At 36.6% G+C, this 23352-nt stretch overlaps 1 protein-coding gene and 1 long non-coding RNA gene across 5 annotated transcripts in view; both read right to left on the bottom strand.

Moving 5' to 3' along the window:
- The window catches only part of ALCAM (activated leukocyte cell adhesion molecule), a 209992-nt gene that overhangs the window by 114756 nt on the left and 71884 nt on the right, over window positions 1-23352 (bottom strand). The gene's annotated exons all lie outside the window — the stretch shown is intronic.
- Window positions 10871-23262, bottom strand: LOC124906263 (uncharacterized). Its single transcript, XR_007095989.1, has 2 exons — window positions 22660-23262; window positions 10871-21333 (listed from the first exon to the last, which is right to left on the bottom strand). It is a non-coding gene; the product is annotated as an uncharacterized LOC124906263 (long non-coding RNA).

Raw genomic sequence — 23352 nt, 5'->3', positions numbered from 1 at the left:
TTCTAAATTTTTATTAGCTTTAGATAAACAAGATATTGTTTAATACTCATTTGCTTCTAGAAATATTGGCACAACTATTTGCTCTTGATATAGTATGTCCATATTCAAAATTTTATTTTTTACTATATTTCCCCAGGATTATGAAAATTCTCAAATAATTTCCCTGCCTTCTAGAATAATTAAAGTGTATCTAGTGTGAATGTTTATGTAAAAAAGCTGGAGCTGACCTGTTTCTCTATGTGGGAAAGCATGTATACAGCATTAACATATACTGTACCTTATACCCTAGACAAGTGTTTGGCACACAGTAGGTGCTCAATAAATATTTGCTTAATTAATTAATATTTCTATGTATCCCTGTTTTATCCAAGATCAAATAGGAGGTGGTAGAACATGGAAGATAAAACAATAAACCAGGAGTTAGGAGAAATGGTTCTAGTTCTTTCTTTGTTTCCACTAAGAATAAGCTACTCACTGTCTTCCCTAAGCATCATCTCTATTTCTCCCTTGTTTATTGCCAATGATAGCCAATCATTCCTCAAGTTTCAGGCAAAGCCCCACTTCTTCACATAATTTTGGTTAAACCTCAACCAACATTGATCTCTCCCTTTCCAGAATACTTACAAGTTTATCCATTGACACTTAATTTTATTTAATTTGACTTCCAGTTATGTAATGGCTTAGACCACTCTTCAATTTCTTAACATGTTACGTGTCTTTTACTCCCAATAAGACTTTAATTCAGAGGTCTCAAACTAGTATCCTGTGGGGCTGAATTTGCCTTATATATGTGTTTTATTTGGACATCATAAAATTTCAATTTTTAGTTAGTTGCAGATATTCATGTGACATTGAACGAACAAAAATATAGTTTTCCAGTTTCTCTTGGAAAAACACCAAATTTGGTCACACTGGCCTGCATTCTTCTTTGGCAGTAATCAACCAGAGCTTAATAGCTACTGACCCTTTTGTCCAGCCACATATTCCTATCAGCCCCCATCCTGGTTTTGCTTTATGTATGTATGTTCTCTGTCTGGAACATGTGAGATATGTGAGATTTTAACCCCTGTATTATACTTCATAGTAATACATTCACCCCAACGCACACCACACACATGCAGACACACATACACACACACACACACACCATATTTACTTGAAATCTCTAAAAAGTCCTGAAGCTTCTATCTATATATCTCTTAGGCATTTCATATTCAAGATGTTTAAATTGAAAACATATATCTAAATTGTCAATTTATCATTTTATTTCCTATATATCAGTAAAGTAGTAATCAATGAAAAGAAATGTGAAAACTAATCCTCCTTTAATTCTTATCTTCACCAATGGCATGTTGGGTAATTAAAAATTGAAAAGCCATTTTCACTTATTTTTCTACATCTCTGTACCCAAATATTTCCCAAGTTCTGTCAAATTTACTGGCAGAGAGAAGAGTTATGATGGGAGAAGGGGTATTCATTTCCTTCTCTGTGTTTCTTTTGCCTCTGCCCTCAGAATCTTCACTTGAAGAAAGTGTACCCTTCTCTCTGTGAGTTCTTGTCCTTGAAATTAAGAGAATCCCACCAGGAAACCATTTGACTTTGACTCCAGATTCCAAACACCAGAGTCAATTTACAGTCAATAGTGAAAGAGTTGTTTTAGAGTGTAAATTCACTTTCTTAAAGCCTATGAAATAGCACTTTGAAACCTTTACAATGATCTAAGAGACAATTGGTGAAATGTTTTGGCACCATCAAGTCTGGCATGCAGCCCTCAAGACAAGCAGCATTTCAACCTATATCCTGAGTTGACTTTCTCTATTAGAAGCACTGCATGTGAGAGAAACAGGAAATCTGTGCAGCACTTTTAAAGCAATGCGGTGAATTATAAATTAATGAGGGTTTAGTATGGGAAGGGAATAACATCTGCAGAAGAGTGGATTTCATAACGACAAAAGGGAAAAAAGGTTTCCCTTAATAAAACATAACCTTTCTGCATGCACAATCAATTCTCAATTAGTCATACCAGAGAGACTATCCACCACATACTGTCAAAACTGCCTCACTTTGACTGCTTCCTTCCCCAAACACAGTTCTGATTCTGCTTCCTCTCACCTAGATGCTTCTTGAATTAATGTTTCCAGCAATTTTTTCTATACTTTTTTGTCATCAAAAAATCCAATTTATTTTTTTATTTCTATGGTACTTCTACTGCATTATACAGCTTTCCCTTCCACAGCCTGCTGTCCCATCTCTATGCAAGTCTAATTAGTCTATTAGAGTGGGTAAGAAACCAGAAGAGAGCGGGAACTAAGAGGAGAAATGATTTCCCTAGGAAGTTTTGTAATTCCTTCTTTAAATGTCTTTATTAATCACACAGCAATGATGTCATCATTTTAGAAGTTCAAACAAACTACAAGGAAATTTGTTGGAGTACTTTCAATTCAATTCAGTAATTATGGATTGAGTACTTACTACATGCTAAGCATTTTTCTAGGTATCACATGAGTAATAACTCCCTGATCTTCAAGGGCTTACAATCTAATCAGAAGGGAAGGTAGAAGGCAATTTTGCAAATAAACATGACATACAATAGGGCTTGGACCATGGTAGTGCCATCAATTTATTGCCCACCGAAAGCAGGCAGGTGATAACTCAGTAATTTCTTCAGTAGACATTAACTGAACATGTACTATTTGTCATGGACACAAGATGAACAAGATAATACCCCTGTCTTCCCAATCTATTAGAAAAAATAATGCAAGGACACAAAAAGTTACAAACACCATGATTAAACTTATCATGCAAGTATTGAAAACATGGCTATTTGAGCACCAAAACAAAGTCTCTATCTCTGCCTAAGGATGGGAAGAAGTGACAAGAAGTCTTTACAGAGGAGATGAGTCTTAAAAGGACAAGAGGGAAGAATATTTCATGCGGAAGCACCAGAATATGCAAACAATTGGAAATATGAGAGAATATTCTGCATTCTGGAGGAGTTCATACTTCTGGATAATAAATGTACTCATAGACTATGAGTGGGGGAAAGCTGGGAGTTGAAGCAAGGGAGACAATCTTGGAAAGATTTCGCATGTGTTGTTAAGCATCCAACACAATGCATGACACATAACAAAAATTTGTGTGAATAACTGAGTGAGAAAAGAATTTGGCTTTTATTCCAAGGTTGTTAGGTATTTATAGAAAGATTTGCATTTATGAAAGGTATCCAAAAGATGAGTGTAAAGGTTGGATTAGAAGGGTAATGACAGAGAGACCAAATAGGGTATTTCTGCAATATGCCATGTAAGATGACATAAGCCCCCAAATAAAGAGACAGCTAAAAAACAGGAGCAGAGCTATTTCAGAAGCGAAATGCTGTAGCTTGTTGAGTAACTGGATGTGGAGTGGTAGAAGAGCTCTCAAGGCAGAAAAGCAGGTTTAATATCCACCTTAACCATCTCATACTCATCAGAATGTATTCAGTTAGGTCTACATGAGGTACATCATATTTTTACTTAGATAATTTTAAAATAAGCTTAAATATCTAGTTTACTAATCTAACTTACACTACACATGGAAATTTTTGAGTATGTAAGTATTTGGAGAGTTGTAAGAAGTGATAGCTAATAGCTTAATCAAGGAAAGAGACAATATCAAAGACAAAACATCCAATTAGAGCAGCCTTTATTTCTGGCATGATTAAAGCCATTTTACATTTCTCTGCATGCTGGAGTAGGATCTCCTTTGGCCCAGGTACAGGTGCATGCCTGCGTACCTTACAAAAGTCAATGTCATACCCAGTTCCATTGACAGGAAAGTAAATTGCTCCATATTTAAAGAAGCAACATAGAATCACTGTTCTCAAGATACATTAAAGTAACTTCAAATTCATCATTGCTTAACACATATCAAATATTTGGTTGAAATAATAATTTCCTACAGTTGTATAATGATTTGCAATATATCTAACCTGCTAAAATATATCTCTGAATGAAGTGAGGCCCCTAGTTGCAGGTGTTAAGTTGCACTGTGTTAGTTCAACTATAAAGCTGGTTTTTTTTTTTTCCCCTGAAGTGTGTGTACAGTAGGAAAAGCTATAAAAATAGCTCTAAGAAACTAGTTTTTTAGATTTATAATGAGCATGTTTATTAGGAGGAGCTCCATTGGAAAGCTCCATTGAGGAGCTTTCAACACTATGGAGGAGAAAGGTAACTAAACATTCAGGATACGGATGAGGGATTTTTGAACAGTGTTTTCAAAAAGAGTTAGCCAGGTGGAGAGTGGTGGAAGGACATTCCAGGTAAAACAGAGAACATGTGGGAAGCTGTGGAGACCCTGGGAAGTTTTGCTCAGTGTCAGAAATGGTTCTGATTCTTCTGCACCTTTGAACACAAACAACTGCAGCCCATTTGACATCTCCCTGTTTTGGGGGCTTGCTAGTCATGTGTGCCTTCTTCCAGCATATGGGCAGCAGTTCACAACATGTACTTTGTGTACTAATATCGTCCCCAGCTTCGTCTTATTCATTCTACTTAATTCATCAGTGTCCTGATTTCTTCGTTTTCTTAACATTTAAAAAAAAATTTTTTTTTTTAACTTTTAGGTTCAGGGGTACAAGTGCAGGTTTGTTACACAGGTAAACTTGTGTCCTGGAGGTGTGTTATACAGATTATTTCATCCCCCAGGGATTAAGCCTAGTACCCATTAGTTATTTTCCCTGCTCTCCCTCCTCCCACCCTCCTCCTTCTAATAGGCCCAGAGTGTTCCCCTCTATAAGTCCATGTGTTCTCATCATTTAGCTCCCACTTATAAGTGAGAACATGCAGTATTTGGTTAAATGCTCATCAATGACAGACTGGATAAAGAAAATGTAGTACATATACACCATGGAATACCATGCAGCCACAGAAAAGAACAAGATCATATCCTTTGCAGGGACAGGAATGGAGCTGGAGGCCATTATTCTTGGCAAACTGACACAGAAAAAAATCTTTTAAGATGTATTTTAAGGAATATTAAGTCCTTTAGCATAAGGCAGAGCATAAATAAATAACTCTAATGGAGGGTGGAGGACTCACAGTAGTAGTACCATGAATTACAACATAAATGCCTGAAAAGAGCCTAGGACAGCATCTGTGTGTAATTAATAGTCATGATGATCACTCCTAAGTCACTAAGAAACAGTTTAAACTTTGCATGTGCTACATAAAAACGTACATTAATTTAAAATCTTCTGATCATTTTTAAATGGTTAATTTTGAACTTACAAACCTTCAGATAAAGAGAAAACTTGCCTAACTAGAGGGTTTTTTTTTCTTTTTTACCTGAAGACTATGGCTTCATTATACGCAGAAGCTCTTATGCATTTGTCTTAGAAACAGCCATTTTACAAAATACTCCAGCATGCAGAGAAATGTAAAATGGCTTTAATCATGCCATTTTGGGCTTATAACATAGCCAAAAACATCTATCTATGAACTCTACTGTACTAATATTAAGAAAACATCACCCTTCTGTACTTGAATGAGTTTGGGTTGAATGTTACATCCACATGTTAAACGATAAAGAGGAGTCCAAGGTAACTCTATGTAGTTGCTTATAAGTTTTAGTCAAGCTTGAATAAAGAATTATCACACAAACTATGAATTTTTTTCTGGGAATACATAGAAAAACAGCAGGAAAGGAAGCTTTGTTCCTAATATAACATTGAAATCATTTTTAAGGGCTCAATTTTGTGATTAACTTATTAGTGTCAATTTACATTTTGTCATTGACAATTTGTAACTTTTGAAGCCATTCTGATGCAGGACAGTGGAGCTTAGTCCGCAACTGTTCTTGGCTTTGTCCAGCAGAGAATTCAAGGACAAGCTGGTGGTAGGGTAGAAGAAAACAGTTGTATCGAGGCAGCAGTGTTAACAGCTCTGGCAGTGTTACAACTCTTGTGACTGCTCCTGCAGAGAGCAGGGCTACCCCATAGGCAGTGTGCTGAGAGTAGCAGTTCAGGGCAGGTCTGCAATCACATTTACACCTACTTTTTTGTTTGTTTGTTTTGTTTTGTTTTGTTTTGTTTCAGATGGAGTTCTCTCTGTCGCCCAGGCTAGAGTCCATTGGCGCGATCTCGGCTCACTGCAACCTTCGCCTCCCAGGCTCGAGCGATTCTCATGCTTCAGCCTCCCGAGTAGCTGGGATTACAGGCCTGGGCTGGCTAATTTTGTGTTTTTAGTAGAGATGGGTTTCCCCATGTTTGCCAGCCTGTTCTCCAACTCCTGGCCTCAAGTGATCTGCCTGCCTTGGCCTTCCAAAGTGCTAGGATTACAGGTGTGAAGCCTGGCCTACTTACTTTAATACAGATCAAGGGGTGATTTAGGTAGAAATTTCCCGGAAAAGGGTAGTAACTTCTGGGTCATCGGGTTATTGCCTGGAAAGGCGGTGGTCGCTCGCAGGTGCTGCCATTGCAATGGTAAACTGACATGGCACACTAGTGAGCATGTCTTCAGGAAAGCTACTTCCGCCCAGTCCTTGTCTTAGTCCTCAATTTTGTCTGGTATCTGAGCTCCACCTCCAGAGTTGAGTCCTGCCTCCTAACACAGTTCCATCTGTACTTTTATGTTTGTTATTCGTGTGTACCATTTCTACCTTACCTGTTTATATTTTGAACTTATTATCTCTAATAAAAGTTTTCTTTTCTCTTTTTTTTTTTTTTTTTGAGACGGTGTCGCACTCTGTCGCCCAGGCTGGAGTGCAGTGGCGCATTCTCGGCTCACTGCAAGCTCCGCCTCCCGGGTTCACACCATTCTCCTGCCTCAGCCTCCTGAGTAGCTGGGACCACAGGCGCCCGCCACCACGCCCGGCTAATTTTTTTGTATTTTTAGTAGAGACGGGGTTTCACCGTGTTAGCCAGGATGGTCTGGATCTCTTGACCTCGTGATCCGCCCGCCTCGGCCTCCCAAAGAGCTGGGATTACAGACTTGAGCCACCGTGCCCGGCCAAATGTTTTCTTATACAAATCATAACTTGGTAAAATCTCACTATACATATAACCAAGCTTATAAATAACATTTTAGAATAAGTATTATCAAAGACAGGTGTTTGCCTTAACCTCTTCCAGTAATTCAACAAGAGTTTCTTCACATAAGCCATTCAGTTAATAAATTTTAGTGAGCATTTAGGCCGGGTGCAGTGGCTCACGCCTGTAATCCCAGCACTTTGGGAGGCCGAGGCCAGCATATCACTTGAGGTCAAGAGTTTGAGACCAGCCTGGTCAACCTGGTGAAACTCCGTCTCTACTAAAAATACACACACACACACAAATCAGCTGGGCGCTGTGGTGTGGTGCTTGTAGTCCCAGCTACTTGGGAGGCTGAGGCACGACAATCACTTGAAACCGGAAGGTAGAGGTTGCAGTGATCGGAGATCGCGCCACTGCACTCCAGCCTGGGGACAGAGCGAGACTCCATCTCAAAAAAAAAAAAAAAAAAAAAAAAAAAAAAAAAATTAATGAGCATCTACTATGTGCCAATACTGTTCTAGGTGCTATTGAGAAATAAACAATGTTGAAGAACTTATTTGTAACCTCTGTTTCTAATTAGATAGGACTGGAACACACAGGCAGACCGACTCAGGGTCAACTTCCTAAAACTGTGATCTACTCAGTCTCCCCTGTCTAAAAATGAAGTTAATATAGAGGAAAGCATGCGGGGAGATGGGGAGAGATAATATTCTGATTACATATTCAGTACCCAGATCCAGCCATGTCTAAGGCCATCTGTACACTTGTACTTCCTAGTACTTCATGCCAAGAAATTATCTTTTTGCTTAAAATAGTTTGTTTACTCTTGGTTGCCACTAAATGAGACCTACCTAATAATCTTTTGGATAATTTTGTGCAATTCGTCACTGTGGATATGAATAAATTAAGAAGAGTATCATTTGGTAACAGTATTAATTGACAACAAAAGCAAAACACTTGTCAAAAAGCTGCTAGAGTTTTCAGAATTATATTTTTAAAAATTATAAATATTATTTTATCTCCCTTTTAATAGAATAGGTGTGCTCTCTTGAGCAAGTAATTTAATCTCCCAGGGCCTCAATTTTCTCATCTGTGTAATTGGAAAAATGATAGCACATAGGATGATTTGAACACAAAATTGAATAAAATAATAAACATATAGAATTTGAAGCTGTATCCTGAGGACACAATTTTAGTTTGTGTATCTCTCAAGATACAAAATCACTGTGCAAAAATCATAAGGATTCATTTACACCAACAAGAGACGAGCGGAGAGCCAAATCATGAATGAACTCCCATTCACAATCTCTACAAAGAGAACAAAATACCTAGGAATACAGCTAACATGGGATGTGAAGGATCTCTTCAAGGAGAACTACAAACCACTGCTCAAGGAAATAAGAGAGGATGCAAACAAACAGAAAATCATTCCATCCTCATGGATAGGAAGAATCAGTATCATGAAAATGGCCACTGCCCAAAGTAATTTATAGATTCAGTGCTATTCCCATCAAACTACCATTGACATTCTTCACAGAATTAGAAAAAACTATTTTAAATTTCATATGGAATCAAAAAAGACCCCATATAGCCAAGACAATCCTAAACAAAAAGAACAAAGCTGGAGGCATCACTCTACCTGACTTCAAACTATACTACAAGGCTCCAGTAACCAAAACAGGATGGTACTGGTAACACCACAGACATTGGGACCAATGCAGCAGAATGGAGACCTTAGAAATAACACCACACATCTACAACCATCTAATCTTCAACAAGCCTGACAAAAACAAGCAATGGGGAAAGGATCTCCTATTGGATAAACGGTGCTGGGAAAACCGGCTAGCCATATGCAGAAAACTGAAACTGGAACCCTTCCTTATACCTTATACAGAAATCAACTCAAGATGGATTAAAGACTTAAATGTAAAACCCAAAATTATAATAACCCTGGAAGAAAACCTAGGCAATACCATTCAGGATGTAGGCATAGGCAAAGACTTCATGACAAAAATGCTAAAAGTAATTGCAACAAAAGCCAAAATTGACAAATGGGATCTAATTAAACTAAAGAGCTTCTGCACAGCAAAAGAAACTATCATCAGAGTGAACAGGCAACCTACAGAATGGGAGAACATTTTTGAAATCTACCCACCTGACAAAGGTCTAATATCCAGAATCTGCAAGGAACTTAAACAAATTTACAAGAAAAAACAAACAACCCCATCAAAAAGCGGGCAAAGGGTATGAACAGACACTTCTCAAAAGAAGACATTTATGCAGCCAACAAACATATGAAAAAAAGCTCATCATCACTTGTCATTAGAGAAATGCAAATCAAAACCACAGTGAGATACCATCTTACACCAGTCAGAATGGCAATTATTAAAGTCAGGAAACAGTGGATATTGGTGAGGCTGTGGAGAAACAGGAATGCTTTTATACTGTTGGTGGGAATGTAAACTAGTTCAGCCATTGTGGAAGACAGTATGGCAATTCCTCAAGGATCTAGAACCAGAAATTTCATTTGACCCAGCAATCCCATTACTGGGTATATACCCAAAGGAATATAAATCATTCTCTTATAAAGACACATGCACAAGTATGTTTACTGCAGCGCTATTTACAATCATAAAGACACAAAACCAACACAAATGCCCATCAATAGATAGACTGGATAATGAAAATATGGCACATATACATCATGGAAGACTATCCAGCCATAAAAAGGAATGAGATTATGTCCTTTGCAGGGACATGGATGAAGCTGGAAGCCATCATCCTCAGGAAAGTAACACAGGAACAGAAAACCAAATACTGCATGTTCGACTCTCACTCATAAGTGGGAGTTGAACAATGAGAACACATGGACACAGAGAGGGGAAAAACACATACTAGGGCCTGTTGGGAGGTGGGAGTGAGGGGAGGAACTTAGAGGATGGGTCAATAAGTGCAGCAAACCACCATGGCACATGTATACCTATGTAACAAACCTGCACATTCTGCACATGTATCCTTTTTTTTGGAAGAAAAAAAAACCAAAAAATGAAAAAAAATTATTTCACTAAGATACTGGAAGGGAGAAATCTTGCTTAAGAAACTGTGAAGGTAAAATTGAGAATATGAGTAAAGCCACAAACCAGAGGCAGATAATACAACTTGCAGTGCAGACCCAAATCAAGGACTACCCTGAGATAAGCCAATGAAAAAGTCAGGACAAGAGTGATGGGAGTGTATATGGGGTGAATTTGGGACTTGGGGAAGGTGGCAAACCAACGCAGTGTCCTAAAAGCTTTTAAATTATGCTGTTCAAATCTCAATTATCCTTGCCAATATGGTTTTATACTTGATCTGCCAATAACCAAGAAAGCTGTATTAAAATAGTGAAGGATTTATTAATGCCTCTTCATAGATCAAACCAGTTTTGTTTATATATTTTGAAGCTGTACTATTCAGTAAATAAAGTTTTCAATTGTTATGTTCCTAACAAATTGAACCTCTTAGCATTATTTATTGACTCTCTTTATCTTTTTTAATGCTTTTATTTTCCCTCAAAGTCTGTTTTGTTTTGTAGACCTGCTTTCTTTTTGTTAATATTTTCCTGACATATTCTTTCTAGGCTTGACATTCAAACTTTTCATGTTCTTGTGTTTTATTTAATTAGTCTCTTGTAGAAATGACATAGCTGGAGTTTGTTTCTATGCGGTCTGAGGGTCTTTGTGCTTTAACAGGACAGCTTATTCCATTTTCCTTCTTTCTCTTTCTTGCTTTCTTTTCTTTTTTTCTTATCTCTTCATCTTTATCCCTCCCTCCTTTCCTCCCTCTCTCCCTTCCTTCATTTCCTTCCTTTCCTTCTTTCCTTCCTTTCCTTCCTTTCTTCTTGCTTCCTTGCTTTATTTTTCTTTCAAGATGGGGTCTTGATATATTGTCCAGGCTGGTCTTGAACTCCTTAGCTACAGCAATCCTCCCACCTTAGCCTTCCAAGTAGCTGAAATTACAGGGTTGCACCACCATGCTCAGATTTTTTTTTCCTTTATTTTGTTTACTTACTTCTTTGGATTTATTTCCACTCTCTTATTTCTATTTATCCTTTCTATTCATTCTGCCTTTCCTGTTTTACACTCACCCTTCCTACCTCCTTTGGGTGTACTTTTTCTCTTCCCCATCCTAATTCTCCCTCTACATGTTTGGAATTGATTAATTAAAACTCTACGTCATTCTTCTGAACGAAGTTTAAATAGTATTTTTTTTCTCCAAATATACCTTGACCTCAGGATGCCTTAAATCTGATCTCCCACCCTTCTAAATTTACATACTACTTTTGTCCATTCTAGGCTCTTTGCCCCCAACAGACATTGGATATTATCATTATTTAGTGAATTATATGTTTTCTTCGTTTTCTCTACAAATTTACCAAAATACATATTCACCATCTATCCTTGCACACTCCATCTATTCTGTCTGAGACATATAGAAAAAAAGAATTTAAAGTTGTGCATGGCAAATTAAAAGTACTCAAGTATATGACAAATATTACTATTATTATCATTAGTTTTCTCAAAGAGACTTATGGCACCCATACAATTAAAGAAACAACACCTTATGGTTTGATATGTATTTTGCTTTGGAAGTTATTTAAGGTAACAGATGATTGATTCAAAGTGTATTAAATCCCTCTGAGAATGCTAAGGAGTGTGTGTATGTGAGGTAGTGGGTGAAAATGAAAGTTGGCCTAGGACATTGAGAAGGTAAAGGAGGTGGTATGAGATTTGTGCTGCAACTTCTATCAAAACGTCCCTGCTCTGGAGAGCAAAGGGAGTAATGCTGAGGAATTATCCGGAGTATCAGACAATAGTAAGAGAAAAGGAAGAAAAGAGAAGTAGAAGAGAGATATTTCAAGCTTAAATGAAACAGATGAGGAAAGAACTCAACCCATGATTTAAGTCTTGGGGTATCTCAACCATTTCTTGAAATCTACTCTATACTATGTACATAGCACCTTCAAACTGGTAAGTTTTCATGGAACTATTATTAGAACTATTATTAATAACATTATGGAAGAAACAGTGCCCAGAAAGTAGTAAACATACAGCACACTTTTTGATTCAAAGACACATATGAATGTGTATCTATTGTGCTTCCTTTGTTAGTAAGAGATGCAATATAGAACACAATAGACGAGTTTGAGTTTAATTAGCAGGACATTTTAAATCCATCATTTAGAAAACGAGGATAAAACAATCTATTTAATGAAAGTAGTATATTGCTGTTGAAGTGTATAAACTGTGCCACCATTCTCTTGGTGGTTTTCCCCCTCTATTTCTCATTAGTTTCAACTCATTAACATTTTCTGACAAATGTAAATCCTATAAAGCTGATTGGTTTGATTAACCTAATAAAGAAAAAAAGCCAGCCACTTATCAACCTTCACTTGACATTGACATAAAGTCTTTACGTGGCACAGTTCCTGGATTTTGTCATTTGAAATGGGACGAGGGATTGCTAATAGGATGAATAGGGTGGTAGTGCAACAGATTAATTAAGCAGCTCTCAGGAATGATATTGAAAGGTAACTGATTAATTGAACATTGAAGCCATCTAATCAAATAGTGAAACAATAAATATGTTTCTTCAGAGATAAATTATGCATTCATTAGCATATTCATTTATACAGTTGAGTTAACTCTTTGTGTGCTTTTCGTTTTGCCTAGTTGGAAATATCCACCTGCTATAGATTCTCTTTCTCTTCTTTCTAAAAATGCCTGGAGAACGTGCCTGTATTTCTTCAAGATTTGAATAACTTACTTATTAAATATGCAAGCTTTTTGTTCACAAAACTGTGAAAAAATTCACTAAATCAATGCTTTGTCATCTTATACAACCTGCAGCCAAGCAGACCATACAATAGCACTGAAGATAAATCAGTAAGATACTATTTTATGCTGAACCCAGAGTTTAATAAGAACATACAGTTGTAGAATCATTAATGCCAAGGATCCATCAATATATTCATATGTAAATATGCAAACATGCCTTTTACCATGTAGAAACATGTTTGTTTTTTTTCCATGTGAGCCTTCAGAGAAGATGGTCACTTCACAGCTATGAAGTTTTAGTAAAATAAAGAGTGGATCTGAAATCTCAGGGCATCTGGGGAAGATAAATTCAAAGAGCCTAAAAGCAGTTCATTTATACTCAAGCTGTTTCCCTTTTGCCTAAACTGAAGCCCTGCCCCCATTGTTGACACCCGGGCAGAATCCAGTTGCCACAGCTGTGCAGCTCAATGAATAGCAAGATTCTGTTCCCTGTGCCTGTGGATGCTCATCATCAAAAGATGTCTGTCACCCTCTTGTCCATAGGCGAGTTCCCTGCCAGACTGGAGGAGCATAGCTTCATGGGGGAAGGGCACGAAATCTCAGAGATAAGAAACATTGCCTTGTCAGCATCTGAACCCTGGCAGCTTCTAGTCCTAGTGCAGAGTCCTGACTGAATTCCTGTGTCAGTGACTTTCTTACAGAAATTTAAGCTCTTCCTAAGGCAAAGCTCTCCAGGAGAGAAGTCCTGTTAATACTTCTACTGCCACAGATGTCATGTGGAAAATTGGATGGAGCCATGGTTACTCATTGCTCTAGGTTGGAATTGGCTAAAAAGGCAGTATCATGTATAGAGGCAAGATGTTACAGAGCTGTTGGCTGAAAAAAGATTCGAAAGATTACTGGAGTGTTTTTTTTTTTAATGGAGACTACAAAATGCAAGGACATTCTTTTTAGGTCAAACAAATTTAATTATTTTCTTTTAGCTTAAAGTTTTAGCTTAAATGAATATCAGATCAGTTACTACAGTAGGTTTAGTGACTGATATTCTTTAGGGTTTTATAAAAGGTGGAAATGTGGTAAAAATCTATACATGAAAATTGCTTTAAATTGAAAAGACAAAGAAGACCTCTAAATCAGGACCAAAATGATTTCAGGACTTCTCTGAAATAATTACAGTTCAGGTTCAGATGAACTTTAAGTAGCTAATGTGTCTTATTTTTATAAAACAGGGTTTCCACACCATTAGAAATCATAATCCCAACTGATTTTTTGTTGTTGTTGGTAGTGAAATCATATATCAAGGTTTCATGTTAAACACATCCAATTGCAGAAATCTAGAGATCTATATGAAAACAATACAATCAGATTAACTAAACCTCTAGTATCTTGCTTGTTATATTTTTGGCCTACTCTTGAGAACATTAGAAAGAAAAATAGGTATAGCCTTTTATTTTCTTTATGTGTTTATTGATAATAATGTCGTGAGCCTCATTCCACTGCCAGCATTATTTGATAACAAAAGCAAAGCACTTGTCAAAAATACGCTACAGTTTCAGAATTATATTTACAAAGGTATAAACACAAACTTATCTTCCCGCACCTTTTTAATTTGAGACAGTTTCTTGCTCTGTCACCCAGGCTGGAGCGCAGTGGCATGATTATGGCTCACTGCAGCTCGATCTCCCTGGCTTAAGCAATCCTCCTGCCTCAGTCTCCGGAGTAGCTGGGTGGTAGCACCCCAGATGCATGCCACCAGGCCTGGCTAAATTTTTAATTTGTATTTCTTGGTAGAGATGGCATGTCCCTATGTTGCCTAGGCTGGTCTCAAGCTCCTGGGCTCAAGCCATCCACTTGCCTTGGCCTCTCAAAGTGCTGAGATTACAGGTGAGAACCACAGTATCTGTCTTAGCTTCCTCTTAACAGGACAGGTAGTGATTTACCTTTAAAAATACAATCTCTAAAATTCTGAAATTTACTCCTGCACTAAAAGTACTACTCTTTTTCATCTTGTCGTCTTAGCTCAACATTCTAATTTTTTTTTAGTATTTAGGATACATTGATTTTAATTTTTTACTCTTTAAGTTTAAAGGAGTAACATATATATATCACATTTCTCTTTGCATTTTCAGAAACCTTAGTATAACAAGATTACCATTTTTGAAATTTTGTTTTTAAGAGACACATAATAATAAATATATTTATGGGGTATATAGTGTGATGTTGTGATACATGTATACATTGTGCGAAAATCAGATCAGGGCATTTAGCATATCCATAACTTCGCACATTTATCATTTTTTTTTGTGGCGAGAACATTCAAAATCCTCTTTTCCAGCTATTTAAAATATACAATACTGTTAACCATTGTCATTCTACTGTGCAATAGAACACCAGAACCTATTCTTCCTATCTAACTGTGACTTTGTACCTGCTGACTCAGTTTCTCCCCATCCTTCCTCTTGTACACGTTCCAGATCTGGGAGCCACTATTCTGCTCTTTAGTTCTATGAGATCAACTCCTGTAGATTCTACAGGTAAGTGAGATAATAAGGAAGGCCTTTGTCTTTCTTTGTCTTGCTTATTTCACCTATCATAATGTCCTCAAGTGTCATCCATGTTGCCACAAATGACATGATTTCATGCTTTTTTAGGGCTCAGTAGTACTCCATTATGTGTGTGTGTGTGTGTGTGTGTGTGTGTGTGTGTGTGTGTACACCAAATTTCCTTTATCCATTCATCCATTGGTAGATACTTAGGTTGAATCCATATCATGGCTATTATGAATAGAGCTTCAATAAACATGAGAGTGCAGCTATCTCTTCAACATACCAACCTAATTTTCTTTGGATTTATACTCCATAGTGCAACTGCTGGATTTTATGGTTGTTCCATTTTTAATTTTTTGAGGAACCTACATACTGTTTTCCATAATAGCTAATACTAATTACATTTCCACCAGTGTATAAGAATTCCCTTTCCCCACATCTGCCAGCATTTGTTATTTTTTGTCTTTGTGATAACAGTCATTCTAATCAGAGTGAGGTGATATCTCATTGTGGTTTTGATTTGCTTTTCCCTGATTATTAGTGATAATGAGCATTTTTTCATATACCCATTGCCATTTGTTTATCTTCTTTTGAGAAATATCTACTCAGGTGTTTTGCATATTTTTAAATTGGATTAATTGGGTTTTTGCTATTGAGTTGAGTTCCTGATATATTCTGTATATTACCTCTTGTCAGATGCATAGTTTTCAAATATTTTCTCCCATTCTGTAAGTTCTATTTTCACTCTTTAGAGTGTTTCCTTTGGTGTACAGGAGCATTTACATTAGATGTAATTCCATTTTGCTATTTTTGCTCTTCTTGCTTGTGCTTTTGTGGTCTTATCCAAAAAAATCCTTGCCCAGACCAATGTCATGAAGCATTTCTCCTAGGTTTCCTTCCAGTAGTTTTATCATTTCAGATCTTACATTTCAGCCTTTAATCAATTTTGAATTGATTTTGTACATGGTGAGAGATAGAGGTCTAGCTTCATTCTTCTGCAGGTGACTATCTAGTTTTCCCAGCACCAATTATTGAAAGACTGTCCTTTCTTCACGTGTATACTTGGCACCTTTGTTGAAAATAAGTTGGCTATAAGTGCATGAATTTATTTATATCTTCTCTATTCTGTTCTGTTGGCCTGTGTGTCTGTTTTAATGCCAGTACCATGCTGTTTTAGTTACTATTAGCTTTGTAGTGTATTTTGAAATCAGGTGGTGTGATGCCTCCAGATCTGTTCTTTTTGCTCAAGATTGCTTTGCTATTTGGGGTGTTTTGTGGTTCCATATGAATTTTAGAGTATTTTTTTCTATTTCTGTGAAGAATTTCATTGATATTTTGATAGGGATTGAATGGAATCTGTAGATTGTTTTGAATAGTATGGACATTTTAACAATATTAAGGGTTCTAATTCATGAGCACAAAATATCTTTCCATTTATTTGTGTCTTCTTCAGTTTTTTTATCAATGTTTTTCAGTGTTTTAGTGTATTGATCTCTCAGTGTAGTAATCTTTCACCTCCTTGGTTAAACTCATCCATAAGATTTTTTTGTTAGTTATTGTAAATCGGATTATTTTCTTGATAATTACTTGTTCATGTATTAACTAACATTTACTGTATCTGAATATTCAGAAATTGAATAGTAGGACAGCTTGATTAATTTTATTTCTTCAATATTAACTTCTCCAATATTTTCTTGTTGCTATTTGAGCTCATTATAAATAGCATTATGATTATATCGTATAGACTAAGATAAATGAAGTTCACTTAAATAATTTGTTTTATATATCATACATCAGATAAACTGTTGATTGTCTCCTGGATGTATTTGGAATGTATGAGTCATTAAACATACAGGCAAATTTGTTTCTAGGGATGCTTTCAATTCTCAAAAGAAAAGTCACTGTTCAGATTTGTTAAGACAATCCAAGTTGGTGTCATTATTTATTATCATATAAAACTGCATTAGTGATTATTTAACTAATTGACTGCTTTTCTTTAAAAAAGATAGAAATAGGGAGATGAAGAGCATGAATACTCTTTAAAGTTTTACACAAACTAAAATAGTATTATTAAGCATTTTGGTTCTAATTGTGAAGATAATCACCTTGCAAACTACCCTGATTCAGAAGTCATGGTATTTTAAGTTATATTTTTCATCTTTGAAACAAATTTTAGGATGTATTTTGAGGTCCTTTCAAAGTGATTTTATATTATGTTGGTGATATGGTTTGGCTCTGTGTCCCCAACCAAATCTCACTGCAAATTGTAATCCCCATAATCCCCATGTGTAGAGGGAGGGACCAAGTGGGCAGTGATTGTATCATGGGGGTGGTTTCTCCCATGCTGTTCTTGTGATAATGAGAGAGTTGTCATGACATCTGGTGGTTTTATAAGGCAGTTTTCCTTGCTCTTGCTTGTTATCTCTCTCCTGCCACCATGTAAGATGTGCGTCTTCCCTTTCCACCATGGTTGTAAGTTTCCTGAGGCCTCCCCAGCCATGTGGAACTGTGAGTCCATTAAATCTCTTCCCTTGATAAATTACCCAGTCTTGGGTATTTCTTTATAGCAGTGTGAGAACAGAGTGTAATACAGTTGGTCAATATTCTTGCTTACTAACAGAAAATGAATTGCAATACCAGTGTAAAAGGAAACATAACCACCTCCATTTTGAATATATTATAAAAAGAGGCATTTCTTGCTCTATGATGGACATACCATGCATTTTTTTAAAGAGCCCTTTAAGAAATTAGAGGTGGTTACTGTTATTTGAAAGGTATAACACAAGTTCAGCACTTATACTGTGCTATAAAATTACCCTAGAATTTCTTTATCATATAAGAAACATTATTAAAACTTCAGTCTATGTTTTTTTGGCATTGTGACAGCAGTCCTCTAAAATTGGGTGTGGATTGAATGAAAGTAGGCATTATAGAAACATTTGATTCATCTCTCTAATAATGTAAAAGTAAGAGAGTTTTGAATTCAGTTCAAAGAATGAAAGCTATAACTGGCCTGATTTAAAATTATTCATGTCAGCAAGTTTATATGCAGAACCATTTGAAACCTGCCTGTGCCTTTTTAAGTGGAAATGAAATTTAGTTCTACATTTGTCCATTGTTTAATAAGATGTGCCTACATGTATATGTTTTATTATAATTTAAAAGAAACCATTTTAAATTAGATATATATTTTACTGGTTTAAGAGTCCATTATTTTAGAAAAACTCCAGTTATACTTTTTATTAATGAATTCTTAAATTCTATTGTATATCTCTTATTATTATTCAATGTCTTTTAGATACCTATGGTTTTATTCATTGGTTCTCAATATTTTTTTCAGCTTTTGGAAAGCTCGCGTGCATAATATACTTCAGTCAGACACACTGCGCCTTGCAGAGTATGGTTTTCAACACAATGGAAATGAATAGAACAGGGAGGAGACATATCAGGATCTGGAGAAAGCTGGGGAGTTAGGAATGCAGTTAGAAAAAATATATAATTTAGCCCCTGGGAATATAGGCATGTCTTCTTGAGAGAATTAGTGATTGAATGGATAATGTTTCCATTTCATTTTCCAAGTAATACACATAACATGTTAATGGTGTACTTGATCTCTTATAAAGGGTGCACCCAAAATAGAAACAAAATCTTGGCTGGGCGAGGTAGCTTATGGCTGTAATCCCCAGGCTTTGGGAGGCCAAGATAGGTGGATCATTTGAGGGTAGCAGTTTGAGACTAGCCTGGACAATATAGCAAGATCCCCATCTCTATACACAAAAAATTAAATTAGCCAGGCATGGTGACCTGTAGTCCAAGCTACTCAGGGGGCTCAAGTGGGAGGATCCCTTTAGCCCAGGAGTTCAAGGCTGCAGTGAGCTATACTCACTATACTTCACCATGCGCAACAGAAGGAGACCTTATCTTAAAAAGTATATGTATTTAAAGTTGAAGGAATCAGTTTTATTAAATGTAATTTCTTTCTTTCTTTTTTTTTTTGAGACGGAATCTCGCTCTGTCACCCAAACTGGAGTGCAGTGGTGCGATCTCGGCTCACTGCAAGCTCCGCCTCCCGGGTTCACATCATTCTCCTGCCTCAGCCTCCCGAGTAGCTGGGACTACAGGTGCCCGCCACCACGCCCGCCTAATTTTTTGTGTTTTTAGTAGAGATGGGGTTTCACCATGTTAGCCAGGATGGTATCGATCTCCTGACCTCGTGATCCACCCGCCTCAGCCTCCCACAGTGCTGGGATTACAGGCGTGAGCCACCGCGCCTGGCCGAATTTACTCATTTTTTATGAGTAACTCTCGCTCTTTTTAAAAATCTTTTTTTCTCTCAAATATTTGATATTTTTCTCACTTATCCTAAGAAACAAACTGAAAATGTATTTTAAATATTCACTTAAAGTAAAATAAATATGTATAAAAATTTACTTGGCTAACATCCTGTAATGCGTTAATATATTTTGAAAATAATAGTTCATTTTACTTGAGCCCATATTATGTTTAAAAGGTAACAGGGCCCTAAATGTGTCCTGATACCTCAAACCTGAGGGAGAAAAAAGAAGTATAAAGGCCCAAGATAGATTGGTTCTAGTCTCATTCTAATGTAATAATCTCCACTTAATAATATAAAATCTCATCCAACCTCAAACCCAGCATTGACACATCTCCAACTGTTTACTCTTCCCAATAAATTCACAAATGTATATAGAAAGAAATAATATGTAGTGGTGTGCATTAAATACCTTTGGTTATTTTTTAAAACTAATGTTAGACTATTTTTTAAATCTGAAAATAGATTCTAAATGCTATTTGAAAGGGATAGCTGCAATGATCTATGTGCAAAGGCAACACTCTTGGAATGAATATATTGCCACTCAGGGTAACTCTTTGAAAAAATGCAGCATCCACTTAGATATTTAAGTGGAGTTGAAATTCTTAAGATACCAATCTTGTCAACTAATTCTTTTATCGTCATTTCTAAGTATTGAGAAGAAATGTTAAGCTCTTATTTATAAAACTTATAAACAGGATTGGAGTCCATTACAGAGGAAAAGAATGTTTTATAGAAGCTTAGATGATGTGTGGAAAAACAGACATTGGAAGGTGAATTATGAAGGGTATGGAATACTATTTCACTTATTGATTACAGGATTTATAAGAAGTAAGTTGGGAAGGATGCACAGTCAAGGTCAGTTGCACCTGTAAATATAAGTTCACACATTACTGATGATTTACAGCTCCATATGTTTCCTACTAAAAATCCATGAAGACTTTTTCTTTCAATTGATTAAAAGCAAAGGAAAGTTGACAAGGGAACTAATGAGCTATACATAATGAATAAGGTGGCAATGTTCTCATCTAGTCAATTTTCCTTTTTATAAAACTGGGAGCAGAAACTTGATTTAATGCATTGCCATAGACACTGAACCAGTAACTTAAGCCATGGTAGCAACTATTCTGTTCAGACCATTTAGTTAACATAGTTAAATAAACTGTGCAAACATGAAAAACTGAATCAATTACCTGATTCAGAACTAAAAAAAAAAAGAAAATGTAAACCCACAAGAAAAGTTATATATTAAGAACTTTCATATTTCCTTTTCTTCTTGTTTGGTCACGAAGTGCCATTGGCCTTTGGCAAATACTCTGTTAATAACCGAGTGATTATGATTGATGGGTAGAACCAAGACATAAAGTCAGATCTTAATTTACATTAGCTCAGGCATTCTTGGATGGAGGTTCTAACTCCTAGAAATACCCTAGGTGAAACTAAAAATCAGTTGAAGTTTCTTTTCAGTGCTTTTTCTCTGCTCTAGCTTCACCTTTCTGTCCTGTTTCCATGCCTTCATTCCTTTCCCCAAGCAGATTCACCAAGACCCTAAGTGCCAGGACTACCAGAGTAACTCACATCAGTCCTTCAATGCCTGAAAAATATATCCTGGGGCAGAAGATCAGAGATAGCCTAAACAGAAAAGAAATTTGTTTGGTTATCCCATGAGGTAATTAATGATTAAGTGTTAATCTACTTAAGTTTCCTGACTGATTTGCTTTTAAAAGGGAGGTGTTAACATAAAGGCATCTTGATTAGTGACAAGAGGTGGTGGACTGCTAACAGATTCCCCAGGGCATGTGGGCGATAAGAGGTCAGTAATTCAGCAAATCTTTAATGACTGCCAGCACTACACTGGCTTTTTTTAAAAAGGAAGTTTCCCATTTGCTGGGCCTTAGCTGAGTCCTGAATCAGAGACAAAGAGGAGATACTCTCTAATTACTGCCTTTGAGAAGTTATAACTTGGAGGTTTTTCTCCAAGTCCATCCTCCCTTCTTCAACTTCATCACAACCTCAAAATTTAAGCAAAATAAGACAAGCCTGAAAAGGCCCTTTGTGCTATTCTAAGACGGGCAGTAGATAATCAATGAATATTTTGCTTATTGACATTAGAATTGTGCAACCAATGCTTTCTTTGTTATCTCTTCTCAAGTGCCACCTCCTAGGAGGAGAGTTCCCTTCCTGGTTCATGTTCTCTTGACTTCCTTTCGCCTCATTTGACTTAGATGCTATGCCTTTGTATTTCTATAGCCAAACTTCCCCAAGGTGCTTTCTCTAGTTATGACTTGGTTTTTTCCTGGTCCCCTCAAAAGCTTTAGCCTGATCACGTTAATTTTCATTGATTAGTAGAGTTCCTTGTAAATACTAAGTGGGCTTTAAATATTGTTGAATGGATGGCGTGTGAGATTTTTCCTTTTATAAAGTGTTTTCTGACAGAATTCATTTATAACATTTACTAACCTTACTTTTTATGATATTCACAGAATAGAAAAGAAAATATCTCTATAAGCACACTTTTCCTCTTATGTTATAGCCAAATATCAACAACAGTAACAACAATGACAACAACAAATAGAACAGTGTCTGCATCACAGGGATTTTGCACTCCAAGAAATGACTATACTTTTTGCCCTGACCTTCAGCCTGGAAGACTCCTTCAGAAATATAAATAGGCCACAGAAGTTAACTCCCTCTGCCTTGAGATTGAATTCATTCTGCTCTCTGAATACGTGTATCCTGATCTCAGTGCACATGACATTTTAGATTTCAGATCAACACTTGCTTCAATTTTCCAATTCAGAATGGTAGAACTTCAAAATTTCATATTGAGCCCCGATTATTCACATACCCAATTCCCATAATATAAGGTACTTACTTTCCAAAAGATCATAAGCTTATTTCAAAATTAGACCATTTCTTTATCTGTAGCCTAGTAACTGTAATTTGTGGAGTACTTACCATATAGCAGGAGTATTCCATATGACTTTCTATATATGAAAAATAAGAAACTAACATAGGAGGTTTTTTTTTTCCATGCTTATTGGTTAAAAAACAAAAACAAAAACTGAGGCATATGTCAATTGCACAAACCATTCAAATAATGACTGCTCTGGGATTCTAGTCCACTCTGTGTCATCACCACTATGGAACTTTGCACTCAGTATAGGTCTATAACTTAAACAATTAAATAGAATTTCTTCTGAGACCTGGTTACACTTCCCACTCTCAATTAATGATTCTAAAGTTCTTTGGATCCTGACTAGTGAGAAATACAAATCCTGTATCATTAATCCTAACTCTCTAACTCATTACCCTAGCTACTAGCAACTAGGAAGCCATAGTTTCTGCTTCCAATTTTGATTACTCACTGTCTAAGGCCCCCCAGCCATCTTGCTCTGGCAGGAAGAGCAAATGCTTTCACCTATTTTGCAACTGTCATTACCATCCTGATTTCATATACCTTCGTCTGTAGTATTATAACATTATTTCTGCTTCTTCCTTCCTCCCTTCTTTCTTCCTTCCCTCTCTCCCTCCTTGCTTCCTCCTTCCTTCCTTCCTTCATTTATTTATTTTAAACAAGATCTCACTCTGTGGCCCAGGGTAGAGTGCAGTGCACAATCCTAACTCACTGCAGTCTCAAACTCCTGGGCT

Source organism: Homo sapiens, chromosome 3 (assembly GCF_000001405.40).
Source record: "Homo sapiens chromosome 3, GRCh38.p14 Primary Assembly".
In the NCBI taxonomy this organism is placed as follows: domain Eukaryota; kingdom Metazoa; phylum Chordata; class Mammalia; order Primates; family Hominidae; genus Homo; species Homo sapiens.
This window is presented reverse-complemented; position numbering and strand designations above follow the sequence as displayed.